The sequence below is a fragment of the Homo sapiens genome, chromosome 7 (assembly GCF_000001405.40).
Source record: "Homo sapiens chromosome 7, GRCh38.p14 Primary Assembly".
Lineage (NCBI taxonomy): Eukaryota > Metazoa > Chordata > Mammalia > Primates > Hominidae > Homo > Homo sapiens.
Window position 1 is genome coordinate 134,730,554 of NC_000007.14, and position 25,553 is coordinate 134,756,106.

General features: G+C 41.1%; 1 protein-coding gene, 1 long non-coding RNA gene and 1 pseudogene across 14 annotated transcripts in view, besides 1 other annotated feature; 1 reads left to right on the plus strand and 2 right to left on the minus strand.

The window, feature by feature from the left end:
- Positions 1-25,553, minus strand: part of LOC124901750 (uncharacterized) — a 224,798-nt gene that overhangs the window by 111,467 nt on the left and 87,778 nt on the right. The gene's annotated exons all lie outside the window — the stretch shown is intronic.
- The window catches only part of CALD1 (caldesmon 1), a 259,231-nt gene that overhangs the window by 19,055 nt on the left and 214,623 nt on the right, over positions 1-25,553 (plus strand). For 6 of the 10 annotated variants that reach the window (XM_047420865.1, XM_047420867.1, NM_001438780.1 and 3 more), the window contains exon 1: positions 14,914-15,019. The exons of the other annotated variants lie outside the window; for them this stretch is intronic. The gene's annotated coding sequence lies outside the window, so the exon portion shown is untranslated. Of the gene's footprint in view, positions 1-14,913; positions 15,020-25,553 lie in introns of those variants that run through there. 10 annotated transcript variants of the gene reach the window in all.
- On the minus strand, positions 4,389-4,527 carry TUBB3P2 (tubulin beta 3 class III pseudogene 2; annotated as a pseudogene).
- Positions 11,577-12,230: an enhancer, noted in NCBI's record as "NANOG-H3K27ac hESC enhancer chr7:134426881-134427534 (GRCh37/hg19 assembly coordinates)". NCBI's record gives its function as "activates a minimal SCP1, AML or CMV promoter by ChIP-STARR-seq in naive H9 embryonic stem cells {active_cell/tissue: H9 hESC(naive)}" and the evidence as "EXISTENCE:reporter gene assay evidence [ECO:0000049][PMID:30033119]".

Sequence of the window (25,553 nt, forward strand, 5' to 3'; positions counted from 1 at the left end):
CAGATCATATCTCAAAAATGTCTTCTCTCTGCCATCCAGTCTTTGGAAGAAACACAGAAACTAGCAAGATGGATTAGTCTATTTATAATTTTTTTGGTCTGACTCATCTTTTAGAATAAAAAAATAAATAAAACATTGACTGGTTAATACCATAATTAGGAACAACACAAGTTATAAAATAGCAATGGAGATGGTAACTTTAGGATTAAAATAGACTTTTGGCTCTCATGATTCCTAAGATTTTATATGTCAGACAGGCTGGAATGTGCCTGGGGGTTGAGGGGGAGACATCCAGCTTTAGATTATGTGGGCCCAAAGGAAAAGCTCCTTCTCCTAGCTCCCACCTGCCTCTCCCACCCCACCTATCCTACCTCATTGTTCATCTATTGCCACCTCCAGCATCTGGTCTACCTCCTTTATTTCCCTCATTCCATGCCGTCTACCCTAGATATCTCTGGTTCTGTCATCAACAGCACACCTCACCCATGTTACAGCACCTTCCTCCTCCACAGCTAACCTGCCATTTAGCCTCCCAACATCCAGCTGGGAGCCTCCCAACATCTCCTCCTGCCTGCCTTGAAGCTTTGCCCCATCAGTTTCCACATGCTCTTCCACACTCTCTCTCTCTTACCCTCTCTTTGGCTCTACCACTGGATCTTGCTCCTCTGTAATCATGCTCAAGTTTATGCTATTCCAAACCAGCCAACCAATGAAAACAAACAAACATAAAAACACTCTTCTTCCATTTTGTCTCTCTCCCTAAAGCAAGTTTCCCTGCTTGCTTTCTCTTCACCGTCTTTCAAACTTTTCTTTGAAAAGTCAACTTGTCATCTGCTTCCTTTCTGATACCACCCATGGCATTCTTAATCCCTGCAGTCTGGCTTCAGCTCTGAATGCTCCATAATAATATTATTAAAGATCAGTGATCAGTCAGTTACTGAATGCAGTGTTTTATTTTGTTCTCATTTTGCTTAATTGCTTTACATGATTGACCCTGTTGCTCCACTCCTAACCATGTCCCGCTATGAAATTCTCACCCTCTTTGGCTTCCCTGATAATGTACTATTTTTATTCCCCTTTCATCCCTGTGTCTCCTCCACTTCCTTTTTTTTTCCAGCTCCAAATATAAGTTTTTTCTAAGAATCTGCTATTGACCTTTTTTTGCATTCTCTCTTCTCTCTGCTTTCTTGGTGAATTCACTCAGTCTCATGTTTAATTCTTCCTTCTTCGTGACACATTTCTGAAACCTCCTCTTTGCAGTCTGGCTTTACTAACTCCTTTCTGAAAGTTTCCACCCATATATTCTACAGTGTGCTGATCTTAATGGGTTTCAGACTAAATTTATCCCTTGCCACACACATTGTTTATTTTTTCCAATTTCTATTCATCAAAATTTTTCTTTCTAATGGCACCAGCTCAAAAGATTGATAAAATCTTTCATTCTTTCCTCTTTTCTTGTCTCACATCTGATTAGTAGTCAAGTCCTATCAATTTTGTTGAAAACATAGCTTTTCTGTTTGTTGTTTTCTTTTTATTTCCACTGATAGCTCTCTAGTTCATGGTTTGACTTTCTCCTACCTTATTTAATGCAATAATTTCCTAACAGGTCTCTCTGCTTTCAGTCTTACCCTACTGAGCTGCAACTTATACCTGACACACTGCTGTACATCAGTCTTTCTGAAGCACACGTCTAAGCTGGGCATTTTCCTGCCCAAATACTTTCAAGGGCCACCCAATGCCTAAAGCTTACACAATGTATTTAGGGACCTGCTATGGTCTGAATGTTTGAGTACTGGTGAAATTCATATGTTGAAACAATCACCAATATGATAGTATTAAGAGGTGGGGGCTTTTGGGGGCGATTAAGCCATGAGGGCAGAGCCCTCGTGAATAGGATCTGTGCCCTTATAAAATAGGCTTAAGGGAGGCTGTTGGCTTTTCCACCAAATGAGGACTCACAGAAGGTGCCATCTATAAGGAACAGGCCCTCATCAGACACTGGATCTGCCAGTACCTTGATCTTGGACTTCCCAGCCTCCAAAACTGTGAGAAATAAATTTATATTGTTTATAAATTACCAAATCTAAGATATTTTGTTATAGCAGCCTGAATGGACCAAGACAGGTTCTCTACCTCTGTCCCCAAATGACACTTCCAATTTTATTTCTCAAGAGTTTTTGTTTCTCACTCCAGTTCTTTACTTAAGCTACCACCACATAATCCCATGCTATATTTTTATATCTAAAGACAGCAAGTAACAAAAATCCTCTAACTCAAGTGTACTTAATCACTAACTAAATGTATCGTCACACATAAGAAATTCTCAAGCGGGATGGGCCCAGGCCTGGATGTGCGCTCTGGCTGTGCTTCTTAGCAAATCTCTTGGCAGGAGTGCACGCTCCTTTGCTGATGATCTCCTAGCATTCTGGAACTCACACGACACTGATCACACTAGGCTTTGTGTTAGAATTACCTGTTACACATCTCACTCCTATTGGGACTGCAGGGGCCTCCAATAAATTACACCCTTCTCCTCTCCTCTTGAGCGCTGAACCAAAGAAGAGAGGGGAAGGAGCGGCAGATAGGATCAAAACACAATGCTTTATTTTTAATAAAACTGTCTCTGAAGGAAGTGGCTTTGTTGTGCTACAATTATAGGCTTCCTAATGCATGGAACCCAGTGCTCAAGAGCAAACGGCAGAGGGGAGGAGCCCCAGCAACACCTCCAGATCGGTTCCTTTCTGAAAAGTTAGATCTGGGTAACTCACTTCTCTATGGAGATGAGTTACGGGTGGCACAAGAGCCCAGAGGAGTTTATGGGAAAAATGTCTTTCTAGAAGCCACAGAACTGTTTTCAGAATTCCCAAATCCTCTTGACAAAACTATAGACTTCTTAAAGCTGAGGACTATATTTTGTACGTCTTTTTATCCCCCACAACAATACCCATATTGGGTGTTTAAAAATGTCTGCTAGGCCGGGCGCGGTGGCTCAAGCCTGTAATCCCAGCACTTTGGGAGGCTGAGGCGGGCGGATCATGAGGTCAGGAGATCGAGACCATCCTGGCTAACATGGTGAAACCCCGTCTCTACTAAAAATACAAAAAAATTAGCCGGGCGTGGTGGTGGGCACCTGTAGTCCCAGCTACTGGGGAGGCTGAGGCAGGAGAATGGTGTGAACCTGGGAGGCAGAGCCTGCAGTGAGCTGAGATCGCACCACTGCACTCCAGCCTGGGTGACTGAGCGAGACTCTGTCTCAAAAAAAAAAACAAAAAACAAAAAAAAACAAAATAGGTCTGCTAAATGATATTAAATTATATAATGTCATAATTGTTATATAGAAGTCACTATGTAATAATATATAACCTTCAGTTTGTATAATATAACTTATATAGTATAAATTTGCTATATTATAGTAATATAAAATATACATAGCATATATTATATAGTTATTTATATTAACCCATTACATTAAACTTTAAAAGCCATTAATATGCAGCAGTGACATTACCAGAGCCTTACAGAGGTGAAGCTGGTCATCACACAGGAAAACAAATTATTCTTGAGCTTCCATAGCATGAGGAGAGGGTCACAGAGAAAATAGACACACTTCTAATTTCTTTGGGTATCCAGAGGCTATCATCAAATTAAAACAATGTTTCCTATAAAGAATTATTTCTTAAAATCATATCCAAGCTGCCAGATTTTTATTTCTCTCCAAAATTCATGAGGAAATTTGTTCATTTTGGTTTCTAGGAGTGCACTACTTTGTACTACTGTTTACTGTGGTTTTTGTTTTTTGGGTTTTTTGTTTTTACTATGGAAATGCTTTAATTGAGGTGTCTTCACAGCATGCCATGTGAAGACACAAAGAACAGCAAGTGCACACATGGTGAGACATGGCTATCTGCGAAAAGAGTGTAAGTGAATAAGGAGTTCGTGCCACTTCCATCCTTTACCCAGTGATATGATTTGTCTATGTCGCCACCCAAATCTCATCTTGAATTGTAGCTTTCATAATCCCCACACATTGTGGAGGGACCCGGTGGGAGGTAATTGAATCATGGGGGTGGGCCTTTTGTTTCCCGAGCTGTTCTTGTGATAGTGAATATGTCTTACGAGATCTGATGGTTTTATAAATGGGAGCTCCCCTGCACAAACTTTCTTGCCTGCTGCCACATAAGATGTGACTTTGCTCCTCCTTTGCCCTCCACCATGACTGTGAGGCCTCCCCAGCCATGTGGAACTGTGAGTCCATTAAACCTCTTTCCTTTATAAATGACCCAGTTTCGGGTATGTCTTTATTAGCATGTGAGAACAGACCAATACACCCAGTAACAGAAGGCTCTAAGTCACCTCCTCCTCATCCCACTCCTTAAACGCTCCCTTCCCCTCAGCCGTGGCATCATGGTACTGTTGGTAGGCAAACACCAGGTCATTCATATTGCACTTGGCCTCAGTGAACTCCATCTCGTCCATGCCCTCATGTACCAATGCAGGAAGACCTTGTGTCTGAAAATGGCAGAGAACCACTCCTGAATGGTTGTGTTGCTGATGAAGGTGGCGCTGTTCTCTGGAGAAATACACTTTGTGCCATCCAAGACTCTTTGTATCTGGATATGAAAACTGGTGTTTGACATTCATTGTTTTCAATTTTCATTAAGATGGTTGGTGTCAGGTAGAGGCAGCATGAGTGTATCTCTTTGAAGTGCCTTGATATTGATGTAGTTTTGAATAGCACTTGATTCAAAATGTAGATACATTCATCTGTTTGGAGTGGTCTTGATGGGAAAGTTCATTGCATATTAACACACACCATTCAGTATATTTGAATAACTGAGTTTGTATGGGTGAAATATTGAAGTAAACCTGGAAACATAAACTTGGGTGGTAATGCCATATATGCGTACAATCTGGTGAGTGTGTGTGTATCATACAGCACACTTATTTGGATAACAGTTAAACACTCCTACAGGAATGCTATTTCTCTCTTTCTTTCCCTCCCCACTACCCTCTGTGTGTGTGTGTGTGTGTGTGTGTGTGTGTGTGTGTGTGTGTGTAGCTCTCAGTGGAACTTGTTCTTAGCAGAAATAAATTTACATACTTATTCCAAGCACTATGAGGTTTCTAGTATTGCTCCTGGGACTTGGTTTACACACTGTCCTATTGCCGTAAGGGCAATTGACATTCAAGTTGAATTTGGAACTTTTTTCTAAAATGTTGTGGCTACCTGGGATTAAACATTGCTAGGAGGTAGAGATATATAACTCCAAAAAGTCCAGCTGGGGTACACTTTATAAGGAGTTTGATAAAGTCCTTAAACACTATCCTATGCAGAAATACCTTGGGGACATTGAAGAGTACTCACTGCATAACGACAATATTACTACTAAAAGGAAAAATTCCACCAACACACTGAGCAGAAATCTGTAAGAGCGACTCATACCTAAAACCCAAGAATAGGGAGAGACAAAATGCAATATTATTAAAGGAAACATCTTTTTCACAGTTTCTGGAGCCTCATTGCTTCCTGCATACAGTGCTTTCCGTGGGAAATGGGAATGTAAGCCTTTCTCCTTTATGTGTCTATTGCAGGAAAAGAGTGGAGGCAAAGGTTCCTTTCTGCTTCAAAACTATCACCATTGACAACAAAATCCAAAGCAAATATCCCCCTCAAATGAAGAGAATAAGTGTATTATAACTGAACATTTAGGATGACATTCAAAAATCTCATGATAGAGGCTTGAGGTCAGTGGGAGCCTATTGAAACCCTTTGAATACTTGCCTATGTCTGTAAGAGTATAGAGCTACAGAAAAATGTACACACACGAACATGCACCCTCAGCTCCCTCCACTTCATTCATGCAGCTCCACACTCTACAGACTCCCAGACTGATCCTTTGCAAAATGGGGCTTCTCAGCAATAGGACCTCTCTCTTTCCTTCCATGCCTTAGAGACTCCAAAGAGAAATCACATGTTTTCTTACAGATAGGCAAAATGAGTCTCATTCTCTCTCCCTTAAAGAACAAAGCTAAGTAATATCATCTGGCCAGTGGCATCTGATCTGGCTAATAGTAACTGTCAAGACGACCTTAAATACCCAGAGAACAAAGACTGACAGTGCTTGATGGTGGGTACATCACAGAGAGGATGGGCCTGGATACATTTTTATATACGCTATTCAGTTTCACTATGCATCTTTGCTGTAAGAATTCATGCTTTTCATCCAATTAGAAATTTCTGGCCATTGCTTTCTCTAATATTGCCTCAGCTCCATTCTTTCTTCATTTCTAGAAATCATTTTAGACTTCATTAAAGTTTCTCATGCTGTCTTTTCTATATTAACTTCTCTTCCAAATTTTTCAACCCTTTATTTTTCTGTGCTACCTTCACTGTGTTGCTTTAGCTTGGTCTTCTTGTTCACTAATTCTTCTTCAGATGTATCTAATTTACTATTTAGTTCATCCATTTATGTATATATATCTGGATAAGTATTTGAGAGATATATATCTCAAATATATATGTGAAATATATATCTTCAAGCAAATGACATCTGATTTGGCTAATGGTAACTACATATATACTTGTTTTGAGACAGGGTCTTGATCTGTCATCCAGGCTGGAGTGCAGTGGCACTATCACAGTTCATTGCAGCCTTGACCTCCTGAGCTGAAGCGATCTTCCCACCTCAGCCTCCTGAGTAGCTAGGATTACAGGTGCACACCACCACACCCGGCTAATTTTTGTAATTTTTTTTTGTAGAGGCGGGGTTTTGCCAACTTTCCCAGGCTGGTCTTGAACTCCTGAGCTCAAGAAATCCTCCCACCTTGGCTTCCCAAAGTACTGGGATTACAGGCATGAGCCACTGCACCTGGCCTCCATTAAGTTCTTAGTTTAAATAACTATGCATTTTATTTCTACACTTTCTATTTAGTTCTTTAAAAAAAAATCTGCCTTTTTTTGGTCATGGTATTGTTTATCTTGTGGATTTCTTTCCTTCTGTAATGTCTTCAATCATTCTAAACATGCTTATTTTGTATTATCTTTTATGTTGTTGTTCTAGAGCCTCGGTTTCTTGGGAGGCAGGAGGTAGTGCTCGTGAATTCTAATGTGAGTAGTATCTACAGACTCCTGCCCAGGATGGATTATTTCCTCCAGTGTTTTGTAATTCCTTTTATTGTGAGCTCATTTCGTGTGGGCTTGCTTGCTCCTGTGAAACCACCTTGCATTCTGGATGGTGGAATGTCTCTCTGGAGTATTTTTGTAATTGCTTCTGCCAGCCATTCCAAAATATTATTAGCCAGGGACCAGTTTTTACATTAATTTCTTGGCTTGGAACTTTCTGGGCTATTCCAATAGGGTAATTTTAAAAACCAAATTCGTATGTAGAGTAGGTCCAGAGTTTCATATTCTCAAAGATTTTGAAAGATGTTTTTTTCCACAAAGAGAGACAAATGTGTTTCTGTGTCATCCTGCTATGCTGGTTGAGAAATTTCTTTTTTTCTGGTTCATATCCTCCCTGACGGTTCAGGCCTCCAAGGGTGTTGGCTTTATGAGGAAGTCTCATTTCCACCCCCATCTTGTTCAGGCTCAATGCTTTATCTCCTGTGGTCATTAAAACCCAAGTTCCACAGAATCTGAAGCTCTGTGACTCACTCCAATTCTGCGGGAAATGGAGAATCAGTTCACACGCTAACTTGCTTGGTTTCATTCTTTCTCTTTCTGTGATTTCCCCTTCTTTCTGTGATCTTAGTTTTGCATAAAAAATTGTTTTGTTATATTTGATCCTCAAATCCTAGGCATACACAAAAGGCAGAGTTTCCCAGTGATTTCAGCCTGCCATCTCATCAGAATTAGAGGTTCTTTCATCTACGCTTTATGTTTTCTTCAGTTTGACTGTGAGATTTTCTGGCTTAACAATTGTTGACAGCCCACGTGTTGCGTGTGGAATAGTCTAAATTCCCTGTCCTTGCATTTAAGGTCATCTATTATCTGGCCTCCAATTAAATATATTTTCTAGTAGTTTTAGTGAAGATTTTGATTGTTCGCTGTTGAAAATTCTTATTAACAAATTAGATGAGAGCTGTCTGGTATATAAAACTGTCAGATGGATCCTCAACTATAGGACCAGCATCGCGGCATGTCAAGATAATTTTAATCTTGATTCTGTCAACTCTGTTATGTCTCTTTTAAAGTCCCCTCTAGACTTGTGTCATTGCACATTTGATCAGCATACCTACTGCTTCCTCATTCAAGGTACTGATACAAATGTTGGCCAAAAGGAGTCTAAGAGAATAGCGCAACAGTTCAATTGCAGAGCCCTGGGCAGACTTAATTGTGTCCACTAATCATTTTGGGTATGATTGTTCAAGTAGTTTTGAATTCATTCTGAAGTTTTGAATTCTTACCATGTGCAAGTGTTTTTATTTATTTTAGGATTCGTTGTATCAATCCACAACTTAGCACATGTCCTGGTCTCGACAGGCACTCAATGCCTGCTGCTTAAGTTTAATTATGGAGGGAACATTGGTGACTGGACTTCAAGTCATAGAAGCAACGTAAGTGGGGCAGAGCTTTACTTTGAATGGTTTTTGGAGCTTGTCTGTTTTCTATAGTGGGAAACAAGCAAAAACTATATGGAAGAGATCAGCCCACACAATGTGACACAAATGGGCACAAACAAAAGGGATTTAGCAACGGACAAAATGGACCAAGATAGTCTCTTAAGCCTAGCAATTGTACAGTTCTGTGACTTATCCAAGGTTACATTTACCCAATAAATGATGGACCTGGAATTAGAACCTAGGTCTTATCACTTCTGATCCATCAACCCCCTATACTGTCAGGTTTAATACCATACTTAACATGAAATAGCATGTGAGTCCCACCTAAACTATGTTTTCTATCTGTTTTTAAGCCAAGCTTGCTGTTCACTTTCTGGTTTTGCTGGGCATATACATGAAATGCACTTCCCAGCCTCCCGTGCAGGTAGGGTGGTCACGTGACTGATGTGCACTACTCCCAGGCCTGGACCATAAAAACATTCCACATGCCATCATCTGTCTCCTTTCCCCATTAACTGCTGACTTCCTAGAACTGCAAAGAACAAGAGGAGAAGGAAGCCACTAAATAGAAGAAATTAGATTTCCTTAATGACACATGGAAGGCAGCCTGTCAATCAGGATCACTTCATGTGACTTCACGTGAGTGAGAAATAAGCTTCCGTTGTCTTAAGCCACTGAGATTTTGGAGGCTCTTTGTTGAGGCAGGCAAATATTCTAGCAAATGCACCTTCAAACTAAAGCCTCAAATTGGAGTCCAAGAGTAACAATCAAATGGCATAATTTTATTCTTAAGTCACCTATTAAATGATGTCCACTACATTCTTCACTGATAATCTAGATGTAGAAATTGATATTCTTATAAAATTTAAGGGAGATACAAGCATTTCAGGAACATTTCAGATAAAATAATCTTCAAGAATGTCATAGACCCAGTGTAACTTCATATCAGCAAGGTATTTTGAATAAAATGATGAAATAGGGATACCTCTCAATGAATTTAAAACTACTTGAACAATCATACCCAAAATGATTAGTGGACACAATTAAGTATGCTGAGGGCTCTGCAATTGAACTGTTGGACTATTCTCTTAGCCTCATTTTGGTCAACATTTGAATCAGTGCCTTGAATGAGGAAGTAGTAGGTATGCTGATCAAATATGCAATGACACAAGTCTGGAGGGGATTAAAAAAAAAGACATAAGAGAGTTGACAGAATCAAGATTTAGAATTATCTTGACATGCTGCAATGCTGGGCCAAGACTAAAAACACAAAATGTAATAAGGATAAATGCAAAGTCTTATTTTTAGGTCCAAAAAAGAATTATAGGGATACAGGATGGAGAACATGCAACTTGGCAGCAGTTGATGTGAAAAGGCCCTGGGGGTCTTGTTTGACCAAAAGCTTCATGTGAGCCAACAGTGTGATATGGCTCCACAAACTTACTGCATTAATGGAAGCATTGTGTGATGATCGTGAGAAGCGTTAGGCTCTGTGCTCCTCACATGGAATCTGGGACATTATTTTTAAATTCTGTGTACATTGGAACAGTGACAAACTAGAGACTACGCAGAGGAGGTGATGAGGATTGTGAATAAAGATGTCTCCTGGTTCTGCACCCAAGGCATACTGCTGGTAACCTTTTTCGTGCTGCACTACTCCTCCAGCTTTGTTCTATGGTCTGTCTTCTCCACTAGACTGCAAGCTCATTAGCAAAGGGATAATAATAGCAATACCACCAACAATGGTTGGAGTTAGCATTTATTGGATTCTTACCATGTGCAAGGCACTTCTCTAAATGCTTTACACATGGATCTTATTCAATCTTCACAGCAATTCTATGAAATTATTCTACTAGTGTCCCCATTTTATGGATGAATTGAGGCATAGCGAGGTTAGGTACCTTAGTAAATCTGGGGGTCAGGGCACAAAAATCAGTCATTTGGACTCTAGGACTGATACTCCTATCCCACATGCTATCTGCCCATTTGAGCTTTGTATTATTAGTCCATTCTCACACTGCCATAAGGACACATCTGAGACTGGGTGATTTATAAAGGAAAGAGGTTTAATTGACTCACAGTTCCATAAGGCTGGGGAGGCCTCAGGAAACTTACAGTTATGGTGGAAAGGGAAGCAAATACGTCCTTCTTCACATGGCAGCAGTAAGGAGAAGTGAAGAGGGGGAAAAGCCCCTTATAAAACTATCGGATCTTGTGAGAACTCATTATCACAAGACCAGCATGGAGGTAACCACCCCCATTATTCAATTACCTCCCACCAGGTCCCTCCCATGACACATGGGGATTATGGGACTACAGTTCAAGATGAGATTTGGGTGGGGACACAGCCAAACCATATTAGCTCTGAAACTCTTTGATCTCAAGCACTCAATTCATGTTCAATAGTTTTAATGGGTTTGAGTCAATTAACACATAAAAACAAAGCTATAGAAAGAACCAAAAAGGCAGAGTTACTCCCTGTACAGGGAGTTGCTTTAGTGCCCAATGCATATTTAAAAAAAAGATATAGATCCATGAGGTTTTGACACACCTGGGCACCAATGCTAGTAGTCACATGTGCAATAATAATCTGGTGTTTTTTACAGTTCGTTTTTTATTTTCAAAAGCCATTTTTAAAAACCTGGATGTCCTTTAATCCTCCAAATTGCCTTGTGAATTAAACGTGGCAAGTTAAGAGATGAGGAAACAAACCCTGAAACTTTATGTTTATTCACCCATCAGGGTATTTATTCAGCAAACATTCATTAAATGCCTACTATGTTCCAGTCACTATAGCAAGATCACAAGAACTTTGAAAGGTGGTGTTATTGTCTTCATTCTACAGTTAAGGATATAGAAGTCCTGAAAACTGCAGTAGCACTAGCACTATGAGGTATTGATACACACACACACACACACACACACACACACAGACACACACATTTGTGATGTATGTCTTGGCCCCACATTACATTTTTCTCTTTCAATGGGTGGAACTGGAACAGTCATTTCCTTGCTGCTTCATTGTTAAATTTCAAAAGTCTGTGCACTGGAAAGGGCTTAAGTGTTATCCAATTAGTAGTTTAGTAATAACTGGGTTCTTGGTTCCCAAGGTGATGTTCTTACCATGAGATAGGCTATGTGAAAAAACTCAAAGTGACATTCATGCAAAAGAAGGCCATTCCTAACAGTAACGATGAAAATGGAAATAAATGTCTATTAGTAAATGAGATCACCCTTGGAGAATGCTTTGAGATCTTTGGGGAAATGTGGTTGGGATGGGGGAGCATGCTGGGACACCTTCCCTCTGTGGGATCCAGACATTCCAGGCTCCCAGCCTCCCAGCTGTGGAATGTCTTGGAATGTGCTCGAAGTCCTGTGGGCTTTGAAGCCTGGGAGCAGTAGAGATCTGCTGGCAGGGGCTGGTTGGGGCCCACCTGGGATCTCTGGTGTGGTTCAGCAGCCCCCAGGGCTGGAAGGTGAAGAAACTAATAGGAAATGCAGAACTTGTCACCGCAGGCAGCCCTGAAAGCAGAGGTCAGCCTGGAGATTAAAGGAGAAACAGCGGTTCCTCTGCCCTTCTTACCAGTATCGAACATCTCAGCATAATTTCCCACAAAGACTGTCCAAGTGCCTTCCCTTTGCCCTGTCTCCACTGGAAGTTAGCAGTGTAACTAACACCTACCCTTCTTTTTTATAAATGAGCATCATCTCCCTGAGCAGTGTTCTGTTTCTTTAAGGTTAGGACTGCAGAGAGATTGTGGGAGGTGGCAGGGAAGGCTGGTGAGTACTGATAGTGGGAAGAGAGGTCCACCAGATATGGAGGCTCCTGGGAACCCTCCCTGCCTACCTTTCTGCCTCAGTTTGTAAAGCCACAAAAGCCAGCCCTTTACAGCAGCCTTTTAAAGTCAATCTAAGATCTTATACTCATAGGAAAAGATTTTTGTTTCTTTCCTGGGAGGCCTTAGGGATTTCCACATTTCCCAGCACTTCTCAGAAGAGAGCTAGTGGGAGGGGAAGATGACTGCTTTAAGTGCAGTTGGCGGAAACTTGGGGATCAGCCCCCTTGGCCCTGGCTTGGTTCTTCCATGAAGAAGCATCTTCAACTTTCATTGCCAAAGGGTGTTTTGCTTCTGTTGAGGGGAGGAGAAGATAGGAGAGGAAATAAAAGCACAAAAATGAAAAACAAAGAATTCCTGAAGGTCTGATAAGCAGTTCAACTATGCACCAAAACATAAATATTTGGCCAAATTAGTTACTCCAAATGCTTTATATTTCTAAAATCGAGCCTCAGTTTTGTTATACTTTGAAGTTTTTCAGCTCTTCACAATCCTGAGCAAATCTAAGGGGGGTGGGAATTGGAGTTCATTTCCTTCTCTGAGAGCTCAGCAAATACTTAACTTCTTTCCTCTGATGCCTGGTAAAGTGATCTTGCTGTTTTGTCGAACATCTCTTTCAAAGTGGAGATGTTCTCTGTGCAATGACTCAATTTAGCATTTTGTTAATGAAAGAGACATAAGCAGCATGTGCTGGATACTATTAGCTTGGAATCAATCAGAAAAGTGTTGCTGGTTATTAAAATATCTGTATCCTAACATAATCTGTGACAGTGTCTGTAGTCTAACTTCTGTCCACTTTTTGTTGAATTCACCTTTTGAGATTTGCATGACTTTACTTGTGGAGTTTCTCACAAATATAAGACTTAAATCTAGTTTATTTGCACAATCACATAGCAGAAATTACTTGTTCCCCGGGGCAGAAGAATTCACATGCGTAAAGTTGAGGTCTATTTTAGTATGATCCTCAAGCAGTTGGTTAATTTCCCCACTGAAGTCTTCTGATACAATCAATGAAAAATAGCCAATCAGATTAGTTGTTTGTGATCATTTTAAAAATAAGCGGGCTGTGTTAAGGTCTGGATGACAGCGGACCCCTCTTTTCCTGCAGCAGCCATGGTCGAGGGGAAGACCGAGGAGAGAAGATGCAAGAACAGGGCCTCAAGGTTAAGCCCTTGGCCAATGGTAAACCTTCTCTAGTAGCAGCTTGTAGTAATGAGAGAGATTTTTATTAAAGCAGACAATGGGTGTTGTTACACAGAACTGTCGCTTTTCTAGGGGAGGTAAAGTGGCTGAGGAAATATTCAAGCCTGCTCTCAGGCCTGAAATCTTTTGACTTCATTCTCAGGAGGCAAGACTGGGTCTACCTCTAGATGTCTCTGATGGGATTTAGTGTGCAGCTTGAAATGCAGGTTGGTTATTTAATGAAGAAAATCAGAAGTCTTGCCTCTTTAAAGTTGGTTTTAAACATTTATTTTATTTTTTTCTATCAGGAAGTCGTGTGTGTGTGTGTGTGTGTGTGTGTGTGTGTGTGTACATGTGCAGAAAGAATGAGAGAGAGCAAGATTAATTTAATAATTTTATGTATGAAATGTTGGACATATTGAAAGCAGAGGAGGTAACATCACATATGTAGATGTTACCTGAATTCCTCCAGAAACCAAGAAAAATTAAAGTAAGCTAATTAAAGTAAGTTTACTAGAGCAATATTCTTCACCAAACATTGGCAGAGTCGGCTTGGTTACCATGATAAATACCTGCAAGTCGTTCCCTAGAGGAGCCTCATCCTTTCCTTAGCTACACCCTTTGTTTCTGCTCTTCCTTGAAGAGCCTTGGAAGGCTTTTCTCTCTTTGCTCTTGAAAGGGCAGCTGAAATGCCTCTTCTCCAGGAAGCCTCTCCTGGAGAAAAGAAGCAGCCCACCTTTCTCTGGACTCTCATAGAACTTTACTTCCATGTCTTTCAGGCATGTGTTTAATTGTGCCACGTATCATAGTAATTTATGTTCAAATTTCTCTAATCACATTTATCTAATCTCTTCTACTGATTTATAAGCTCCACGAAGGCAAGATTTAGGATAGATTTCACTTTGTACCTCCACATGGATTTTAGCACTGTACCTTGCACCTTATAGGCACACAATAAGTGTGTGTTTAATTAATAAAATAAATGCATCCAAACCCACTTCTGCTGTACAGCAGTAACCTATAACCTAGGTGTTCTTACCAGAGAAGATAAAATTAAAACTCCATTTAAAAAGTTAATCAAATAAATACCTCCCTTATTTTCTCCATCCCAATTCAGTATCAGGCATCTTAAATTTGGTCAGAATTAGTTGACTAGTTTAGAGTTTAATGGTTTAAGCAAATATTTTTTCTTTTTCTTCCTTTTCTTCCTTTGGAACAGAGGAAACTTTGCTGGACAAAAAGGAAAAATATCTGGGTGGGAGAAATTGGGTGGGGCCAGTTAAGTCTGCATTCCGCTACTGGATTTAGTTGAAAATATCAAGCTGTTTTCAAGAATTCTGGATTAAACTCCCTCCCTTGCATTGTATTCAGGGGTGCCTTCCTTGAAGAATTGAAAGCAGAAAGATTTGGGAGCTGAGAGTTAAGCTGAACAAAAGGTAACTATTTTAAATCAAAACATCTGCTAGAGAGGTGAATTTAACTTAAATTCCAAGGGGCAATTGCCGTTCAGCTCTCACCTCATGGACCTATCCTCTCTGATAAATTTTCCCTGGCTACATTAATAAAAGTTCTGGAGGAACTGTCGTTTTGCTATACTTTAGAAATAGCAACTTAAAATATACTTCATCTTCTTTTAATGTCCCAGAAGTTGTGCCTTTCATCTCCCAATTGTTCTTTATAATACAAGGTATGATGTGGCCTTAATAGATAAGCAATTCTTGTTCTTTTTGCTGAGCATCCCAGAGTTTTGGAAGATTTTGGAAACCCTTTTGTTGTGGTGATAGTGGTATTTATTTCTCAACTTGTGATGTATGGTGTTATCTACCATGGTTGTGTGGGTCGATAAAGCCACTGCTATTAGTTCATGTTGACTGAAGAGAACCTATGGGAAAGGTAGTAGGAAGAGCTTAACTGGAATTTCCAGAAATGGTGCCTTCAGGAGTCAAAGCTTGGAATCTGTCATTTGAATGCTCTCCCATGCTCTGGTCTGAATGTTTGTGTCTCTTCAAAATTCATATGTTGAAATCCTAACTCCAAGATGATAATATTAGAAGATGATGCCTTTGGGAGGTGACTAAATCATAAGGGCCAATTCCCTCATGAATGGGAATGGGCTGAAGAGAGACACCCCTTGTCCCCTTCACTCTGTGAGGACACAGCAAGAAGGCACTGTCTGTAATCCAGAAAGCAGACCTGCACCAGACACCAAATCTGCCTTGATCTTGGCTTGCTAGCCTCCAGAGCTGTGAGAAATACATTTTTGTTGTTTATAAGCCACCTGGTTTATGGTACTTTGTTCTGGCAGTCCAAACGGTTTAAGACAAAAAATTAGTACTGAGAAGTGGGGGTGCTGCTGTATTAAATACTTAAAATGTGGAAGCAGCTTTGGAACTGGATAATGAGTAGAGGCTGGAAGAGTTTTGAGGTGCATGCTAGAAAAAGCCTATATTGTGGTGAACTAACTATTAAGGGCAATACTGCTGGAGGGCCCAGAAAGAAAAAAGGAGAGCTGTAGAGAAAACCTCAGTCTTTTTAGAGAACACCTAAGTGGTCATGAACAGAAAATGTTAGTAGAAATATGAACGGTAAAGGCTATTCTGATGAGGCCATTCAGATGGAAATGAGGAATATGTTATTGAAAACGAGAGAAAAGGCAATTCTATTTTTAAAGTGGCAAAGAATTTGGCTTCTCTGTGTTCTTGTCCTAGTGTTTTGTGGAAGGTAGAACTTGTGAGTGATGAAATTAAATATTTAGCTGAAACTATTTCTAAGCAAAGTGTTGAAGATGTAGCCTGGTTTCTCTTGACTGCTCATGGTAAAATGCAAGAAGAGAGAAATGATTTAAAGATGGAATTGTTAATTAAAAGGAACGTAGAGCTTAAAATTTTAGAAGACTTAGTCTATTCATATTGAAAAAATATGAGAAAACTTGTGTGGAAGAGAACAAGGGTGTGGCCAAATGATTATTTGATAAGAAGGTTAGTATAGATTGTCATCTCAATGGAAGCCAGGTGCTATTAATCAAGATAATTGGGACATTTATCATCTCAGCCCTGGAACCAAAGATAGAAGAAGTGACTCAAGGATGCAGAGCAAGGAATAGGTCTTTGAGAAAGCAAGCCAGAAGAGTGAGATAAAGTGCAGATGTGGAATGATCCAGCCTCAGAGGATGTTTCATACTAAGGTCAAGATGCACATGGAGCCAGGAACCCAGGTGCTCATTCTGACAGTGTGAAAGAATTCTGTTTCGCCAACCCTAGAGGGAGTTGTTCAAAGTTCCAGAAAACAGCAGTAAGATTCGTGATGCCAAGGAAGGGTGGACTATGTATTTCTGTAATTTAATTTAAATGAAATCCAGGACCTATTGTTCGAGACAATGGATTAAGAATGACTCAGAAAGCATTGTGGAGATCACTGGGGCTGCCCTTCCCATCATAGGTCCTGGAGTGCAGAACAATATCAAAGGAAGGCCATCGCTGCCCAGAGCAGCCTTATATCAGGGGCTCTACTCCCTGCACTCCATGCCTGTGCCCCGTGGCTGCCCCAGGGCCAGCTTAGGTGGCTCCAGTGCAGCATGCTTGGCACCCAGCAAAGCCATGGGGGCATGGCTGCCTCTACCTGGATTACAAAGAATGCCCTGGAAAGCCATAGGCCCAGGCAGACAAATACCACAAAGGTGGGGCCACCATAGAGAGTCCCCACTAAGGCAATACCCAGTGGAACCATGCGAGTGGGGACACCACAGAGACCACAGACCAGTAGAGCCCCTAGCATGTGATTCCCATCTGGGAGAACTGCAGGCACTCAACTCCAAACAGAGAGAGCTGTGCCATAGGCTACACCTGGAAAATCTATGGTGGCAGGGCTGTCCAAGGCCATGAAGGCAGGCAAAGCTGCAGAGGTAGGACTGCCATCCCAGTGGGTCTGCAAGGCAGGACCTCTGCCCCAGCACCTAGACAGTGGAACACTGAGCCAAAAAGATTATGCTTGAGCATTAAGATTTTGGACTTGCGCAGAACTTGCCACTTCTTTCTTTACTATTTCTCCATCTTGGAATGGGAATATCTAGCCTATGCCTGTCCCATCGTTTTATTTTGGAAGCACTTAACATGTTTAATTTTAAAGGTTCACAGCTCAGGATGGATAGTACCTGCGGTCTCACCCACATCTAATTTGGATGACATTTAGATGAGACCCTGGACTTCAGACTTTTAAATTGATGCTGGACTGAGTTAAAACTTCAGGGCTCATGGGATGAAATGAATATATTTTGCATGCAAGAAGGATATGAGGCTGGGCGCACTGGCTCACGCCTATAATCCCAGCACTTTGGGAGGCTGAGGTGGGTGGATCACCTGAGGTCAGGAGTTCGAGACCAGCCTGGCCAACATGGTGAAGCCCTATCTCTACTAAAAATACAAAAAATTGGCTGGGTGTGGTGGCAGGCACCTGTAATCCCAGCTACTGAGGAGGCTGAGGCAGGAGAATGGCTTGAACCTGGAAGGCAGAGGTTGCAGTGAGCCAAGATTGTGCCATTGCATTCCAGCCTGTGCAACAAGAGTGAAACTCCATCCCCCCGCCCCCCAAAAAAAACCAAAAAAACAAACAAACATGAATTTGGGTAGAGGCAAGGGTGAAATTCTATGGTCTGAATGTTTGTTTCTCCTCCAAAATTCATGTTGAAATCCTAGCCCTCAAGGTGACGGTATTATGAGGTACTGCCTCTGGGAGGTGATTAGGTCATCAGAGCAGTCCTCATGTATGGGATTAATGCCCTCATCAAAAAGGCTAGAGGGAGACCCCCACCCCTTTCACCATGTGAGGACACAGCAAGAAGGCACTGTCTATAGGCAGAAAGCAGATCCTCACCAGACCCTGAATCTGCCCTGAGTTTGGACTTCCCGACTTCGGGAGCTGTGAGAAATACATTTTCATTATTTATAAGCCACCCAGTTTATAGTATTGTGTTGTGGCAGCTCAAATGGAATAAGACAACCCAGTTTGGACTTTCTGGAAAGAGGAATCTAGTGAGAAATAATATTTCAAGAAGTGGAGATTAGTCTAATGAGGCCCAATGAATGAAAAGAGAAAAGGGACTTATTTGTTTGTCTTCAAAGGAACACCTCTCAGCCCTGGAACCAAAGATAGAAGTGACTCAAGGATGCAGAGCAAGGACTGGGTCTTTAAGAAGCAAGGCCAGGGGCCGGGCATGGTGGCTCACGCCTGTAATTCCAGCATTTTGGGAGGCCGAGGTGGGCGGATCACTTGAGGTCAGGAGTTCAAGACCAGCCTGGCCAACATGGTGAAACCCCATCTCTACTAAAAATACAAAATTAGCTGGGCATGATGGCACATGCCTGTAATCCCAGCTACTTGGGAGGCTGAGGCAGGAGAATCGCTTGAACCCAGGAAGTTGCAGTGAGCTAAGATCGCGCCATTACACTCCAGCCTGAGCAAAAAGAGCGAAAAAAAGCAAGGCCAGAAGAGTGAGGTAAGGCATGGATGTGGAATGATCCCGCCTCAGGGGATGCCTGTTGTGTAAGGTCAAGATGCACCTGGAGCCAGGGACCCAGGTGCTCATTCTAACACCATGAAGGAATTCTGTTTCGCCAAAACTACAGAGTTTTTCAAAGTTCCAGAAAACAGCAGTAAGGTTCAGTGATGCCAAGGAAGGGTGGACTATATTTCTGTAATTTAATTTAAAGAACTGACATAGGTTTCTCAGGGATACACAAAACAGGTTCTTACTCTCATAGAAAGAGCTGGCTCTTGACTCGCTTTAGGGAATGCAGTTCCCAGTAAACAGGCGCCTTCTATAAGGGAACCATAGAAACTTCAGGGAGGGCTCCCAGAAAGCTGCTGGGCTGGTGTTGGTGTCTCTGAACTTGAAAGAGTGGCCTCATTACACCCAGATTTCCAAGACACAGACCAACTATCTTGGGGGACAAGTTGGAAGGTTGATATGGCAAGTGTTAAAACAAACAAACAAACAAACAAACAAACCCTGCAAACTAGATTTAGTTGCTGCTTCAGGAAGGCACTGCCATTGCTGGGGTGACCTGAAGACCTGTTCACCAACAGGAGCAAGGAACCCCTGTCCCTTCCTCCATCCAGGCTTGTGGTCTCTCTCTCTGGTGCCCCCTACTGGCAGAGCCTAACAGGGTGTCTGCTGGCCAAGCAGAAAGGTGCTGTGCAGAGTCCTAGCCTCAGTGGAATACAGGAGCGTGGGTCTGGAGTTGCGAGGTCACAACTTTATAAGTGGCACGTTCTGCTTATAGCGTCCCAAGACACAAGTTTCTTTCCTAGTAGAACCATATATTACCGATTACCGCTAGAATTGTATTTGAGCCATTTCTAGGTACCTTCTTTTGGGAGAACCATACCTAGCTTCTGCAGACTTAAAAATCCTGCCATCTCAAAAGCTGAGGTACATGTTTGACTATGTTTATCCTTTCCATTCCTAGCTATTAACAGAAAAAAAAATCTACTTTCACTTTCTTCTGAAAAGTCAAGAGCATATCCACCAAATTCTCTAGCACATACCCAATATTTGAATTTTTTCATCACCACTGTATAAAATATATATTCAATTACCAATTCTATACATTACTTCTATATTGTTTTTTTTTCATCTGTTCAAAATGCATGATTAATTTTCTCCTTCTGGTCAGGTGGCCTATACCAAAGTTCCAGAGCAGGTCACTTACATTTTTCTCTGACTCACTTCTCCACAGTGTTTCTGTTTTTGGGTTACTCAAATGAATATCTTATTGACATATCATACCATTCAGTCTCCCCTTATTACAGCCTATCATTTGGGAATATGGCATGCTTCTCCATCACTGTATTTTAATCTGAAGCCCCTTCCCACCATGTCTCAAAAAATCACATTATGGTGTAACCTCAAGCTTGGTTCACTTACAATGCACACTGAGACAGTATGATATAGTGACCTCTGGACTAGATTGCCCATGTCCAAATCCCTGCTTTTCTACCTACCACCTGTACATGTCCTTGTGCAAGTCATTTAACTTCCATAAGCCTCATTTTTCTCCATCTGTGAAATGAAAGTAACAACAATACCTACCTTGTAAGGTTGTTCCCAAGATGAAAAGAGATATACAGTCACTAAGTGCTCAATCAATGACACCTATTATTAGTATAATGGTTTTAAGGCTATTAGCATTATTTCCATCTCCTCTCTGTCTTCCAATATTTTGGGGGTGCGATTCCCAGGCATCTCCCATACCCTTATTCATATTCTCATCTTACACTTGTTGTCTTCCATAGGAACCATGTTCATAGGTTTATCAAGGTGATTGTCCTTCTTTCTTCCTTTACTTAAAGTTTTTCAGTTGGATCACCCAGACTCTGGTCAAATATCCTTCCCTCGCCAAGAATACATCATTTATCCCAGTACCTAGAACCATGGCTTTGTCTCATAAATATCACTTCTCTTTATCATCTTTGTAATTGTACATTCAACCCACAGATTTTTCTTTCTCTTCAAAGTCTTTATTGTTGGTAGAAAAAATGATCATATAAGCTTATCATCTAGGGCTGGGCGTGGTGGCTCACAACTGTAGTCCCAGCACTTCAGGAGGCCGAGGCAGTGAATCGCTTGAGCTCAGGAGTTTGAGACAAGCCTGGGCAACATGGCGAAACCCTATCTCTACCAAAAATACACAAAATTAGGCGGGTGTGGTGGTGTGCTCCTGTGGTCCCAGCTACTTGGGAGGCTGAGGTGGGATGATTGCTTGAGCCAGGGGACGGAGGTTGCAGTGAGCCGAGATCGTGCCACTGCACTCCAGCCTGGGTGACAGAGTGATACCTGTTTCAAAAAAAAAAGTTTGTCATCTATACTCTTGAGTCCTTTGATTCCTCACCCAAGGTATAGTTTCTTTTCAGAAATGTCATTCATGCAATATTTTAGCTCAAGACATACTGGGAGGAGATTTCCAGGAGAAAGTTAATATGGATCTTCAAGTGGCAGAAGAATCAGGAAGATGAGACCTCAGAGCTTAATGGAATAGCTTTCAAGAGCATGATGAATCATCTTGGGGGTGTGACTTGGACAGAATGCTTATTTCATATAGGCTAAGTAGAGAGTATTCAGCCTGTCAGAAAAGGAAGCTTTCGGCCTGATGCCAAAGAAATTTGCTAGTCAAAATAACCAGTCAAATAATTTCCAAATTAATTATTTTTCATTTTGTGTTTGCATTTGTACATCCAGTCTCAGATTCTCAAAGGAATAAGTTATGATTTTAGCACACAAAAGTTTAGCTTCTTCTCATCACTACCCTAAACCATCTAAATTATAAAAGTGAAACTATATATTATACAGTGGTACCTTCATAAATCTATTTCCAAGTGCCAGAAAATAGGCATTATGAGTGGGGAATTTCATATGTGTCCATGCATGTACAGAGTTCAGGCTCGGGGAGATAAATGTGTCAAGAATGCATAACCACAGCCGAGTAATTATGCAACTTCTATTTCTGCCAATAAATTTCGAGCCTGATTTATGTCAGATCAGAATATAAATCCAGTCTTAGCACCGATTATCAAAAATACACTTTTCAGGCTGGGCGCAGTGGCTCACACCTGTAATCCCAGCACTTTAGGAGGCCGAGGCGGGCAGATCACCGGAGGTAAGGAGTTCGAGACCAGCCTGGCCAACATGGTGAAACACCATCTCTACTAAAAAATACAAAAATTAGCCAGGCGTGGTGGCATGGTGGCGGGCACCTATAATCCCAGCTACTCAGGAGGCTGAAGGAGGAGAAGCACTTGAACCTGGGAGGTGGAAGTTTCAGTGAGCCGAGACAGCACCACTGCACTCCAGCCTGGGCAACAGAACGAGACTCTGTATCGAAAAAAAAAAAACAAAAAAAAACAAAAAAAAAAAACACTTTTCACACTTTTCAGTGTTGAATGTATTATTTTCAGACAGAATATAATTAATGGAATGCTATATTGGGTCCATGCTGCAAAATCTGCTGGGCCTTGGGGTGGAGTGGGAGCCTGTCTAGAGAAAAAAGACAAGACTCAGCTCTGAAAAGAGAACTGAAATGAAGGATCCAGAAATTGTGATGACTTGATAAACCCTGGGCCTAAACTCTCATATGAGCAAATAATGAGAGCAGCCACCTTAATTTCTATAGAAAAAAAATAGGTGTATCATCTCATCTGCTAAAAAAAATCAGATGAAATTGTTCTGAGGGAGTGAATTCCCAGGATTCTCTACGCTTTGTATGCCTCACCTCTGCCAGGTGCCACCAATCACCAACTCTAAATTTGTAAGGCCAGGGCAATGCATCTGAGTCCTGGAGAATCACTTGGGGAGTTTTGAAAAATACTGACATCCGGCTCCACCTAGGAAATGTTAGTTTAATTAGACTGGGATGCAGCCTAGGCATTACTAGTTTTCTTAAAGCACACCAGGTAAGAAGCACTGGTCTAGGCCAACTGCCCTGAGGGTGGCTCCTGCCTTGCAAAGACTATGACTTTGCAAGGCAGAGATGCAGAGATGCAGAAATGCACACAGGACAACGGTGGGGCCTCTTCCCATTCTTGCTGCCCTTTCTCCTTCATGTTCTTTATTCTCCTGCCTTGTAGTGCTGGTCCTTGACTACAAATTGTCTTGTAGCTATTGTCTATAATTTAACGCTTCTGATACCCAGATGCCGGCTGATCCCTCCCTGGCCTGCTCTGACTCCAGAAATTTGTATTTCCTTCTGAGTATTTGCCCACTCTGTTGCAAACTCTGGCTTTGCAAGCTCCCCTAGCTGCATTGACTTGAAGCAGGCATCTGATTCAACCATCTCAGTTAGATTCTGACTTCCAGTCCCTTCTCTCTGGCAGGAGGCTGGGGACATCTCCACAGGCAGCCCTGACCATATTTGTTTAACACGTAACTTCTGTGGGATGAGATGAAGTCCCAGCCCATCCATCTAGATAGCCATCTTCTTGTCATAGGATGAAACCAGCCTGGGTTTGAATCCTGGGTGAGGAAGTCACAACAGAGTGAGAGAGAGAAAGCCTAGGTGACTAGGGGGTAGGTTCCTGTGCTGGGGCCTGAGATGTGGAAAGGAGAGACTTTATAAAGAGAAGGGAGAAGAGAAAATGATGAGTAAGACCATCTTCTTTAGGTAAACCTAAGTGTGTATTATAAATGTTAGCATTGGCCACTGTCGCTTATAAATTGCTGCTGTCATTTAAAAAATTCTGTATCATGTCTTCTTCATGACTTTTTAATACCACCCTTGTCTCAAGGTACAAGCACAGAAGTGTGAGTTGAAAAGAAAATGTCTATAAAATAATACATATGCTCTAATTTTCAACCAAATATGAAAGGTAAACCTAAAACCCACTGCTGATATCCATGTATAATCCCTTTTGGCTCCCAGAGGTACCTCTGTTAACAGATGTGTAGTCCCGGAAGGACTGCTTGACATACAAGAAAATACATGTATGATATTGCTTCATGTGTGTTTTATATAACTGGAATAATACCACATATATCATTAGGAAAATTACTTTTTTTCACTCAACAGTCTATAATGGAGATCTTTCATTTCACCACATATAGAGTTCATTCTACTCAACTACTAAACGCTAACTATGGACAAATAAGCTGTTTCCAATGTATACAATTACAAACAATTGTATAAATACAATGTATAGCTTATATGTGTGTGTGAAGGTTTCTTTAGAGACGATCAGGAAAAGTAAAATTGTTAGACAATAGGGTAGATGAATTTTTATTTTAAATAGGTATTGTCAAATTTATACCTCACCTAGTAAGGCAAGAGAATACCATTTTACATTACTCTACTCAACACTACTATATATTTTACTTTTTTTTTATTATTATTATTTTTAGATGGAGTCTCACTCTGTCACCCAGGCTGGAGTGCAGTGGCCCAATCTGGGCTCACTGTAATGTCTACTTCCCAGGTTCAAGCTATTCTCCTGCCTCAGACTTCTGAGTAGCTGGGATTACAGGCGCCCACTACCACTCTTGGTTAATTTTTGTATTTTTAGTAGAGACAGGGTTTCACCATGTTGGCCAGGCTGGTCTTGAACTCCTGACCTCAAGTGATCTGCCTGCCTCAGCCTCCCAAAGTGCTGGGATTACGGGCGTGAGCCACCATGCCCGGCCACATATTTCAAATGTTGCTTCTCTGGAATGGTATTTCTTTGTTTGCATTTAAGTATTTTTTTTCATTACTGGCGTGGTGAAAATATGCTTCATTATTGTTTCAATTTGCTTTTCATTGATTACAAGTAAGATTGAACATTTTTGTGTATGCCTACTATTATTTGGTTTTACTCCTCTATGAATCCACTTCCCATATTCTTTGCCCATTTTTCTATTGGGTGGCTTATCTTTCTTCTTATTGATATAGGAGTGATTTATAGATTATGGATTTCCTTCAGGGCACAATTCACATTGTAGTCTACTTGAATGGCTCCCCCCGGTGGTGTACAGTACACAGCCTGCACAGCCATAACTGGCAGTCAGCTTTTGTTTGTGATAAATATGTAAATATTTTATCCTTACTCTGTCTCTTGTCTTTACATTTTACTTGTGTTATTTTTCACAGTGTAGAAGTTGTTTTTCTAGTCATATTTATCATTCTTTTCCTTTGTGTTGTTTGCCTTCTGAGTCTTGTTTAAGATAATCTTTCCTACCCAAAGTAAAACATTTTCCTGTATTTCCTCTGATTCTTTTATAGTTTTACTTTTTATGCTCATATATTTAATCTATCTGGAAATGACTGGTGGATGATGTGAGATAGGGATCTAAACATTATCTTTGTCCAAATGGATAACCAATAATACCAACAAATTATTGAATAGACATCCAAAAGACATCCCTTAACTAAAATACTACCTCTACCACCATGCCCTGCTAATTTGTGTATTTTTAGTAAAGACAGGGTTTCACTATGTTGGCCAGACTCG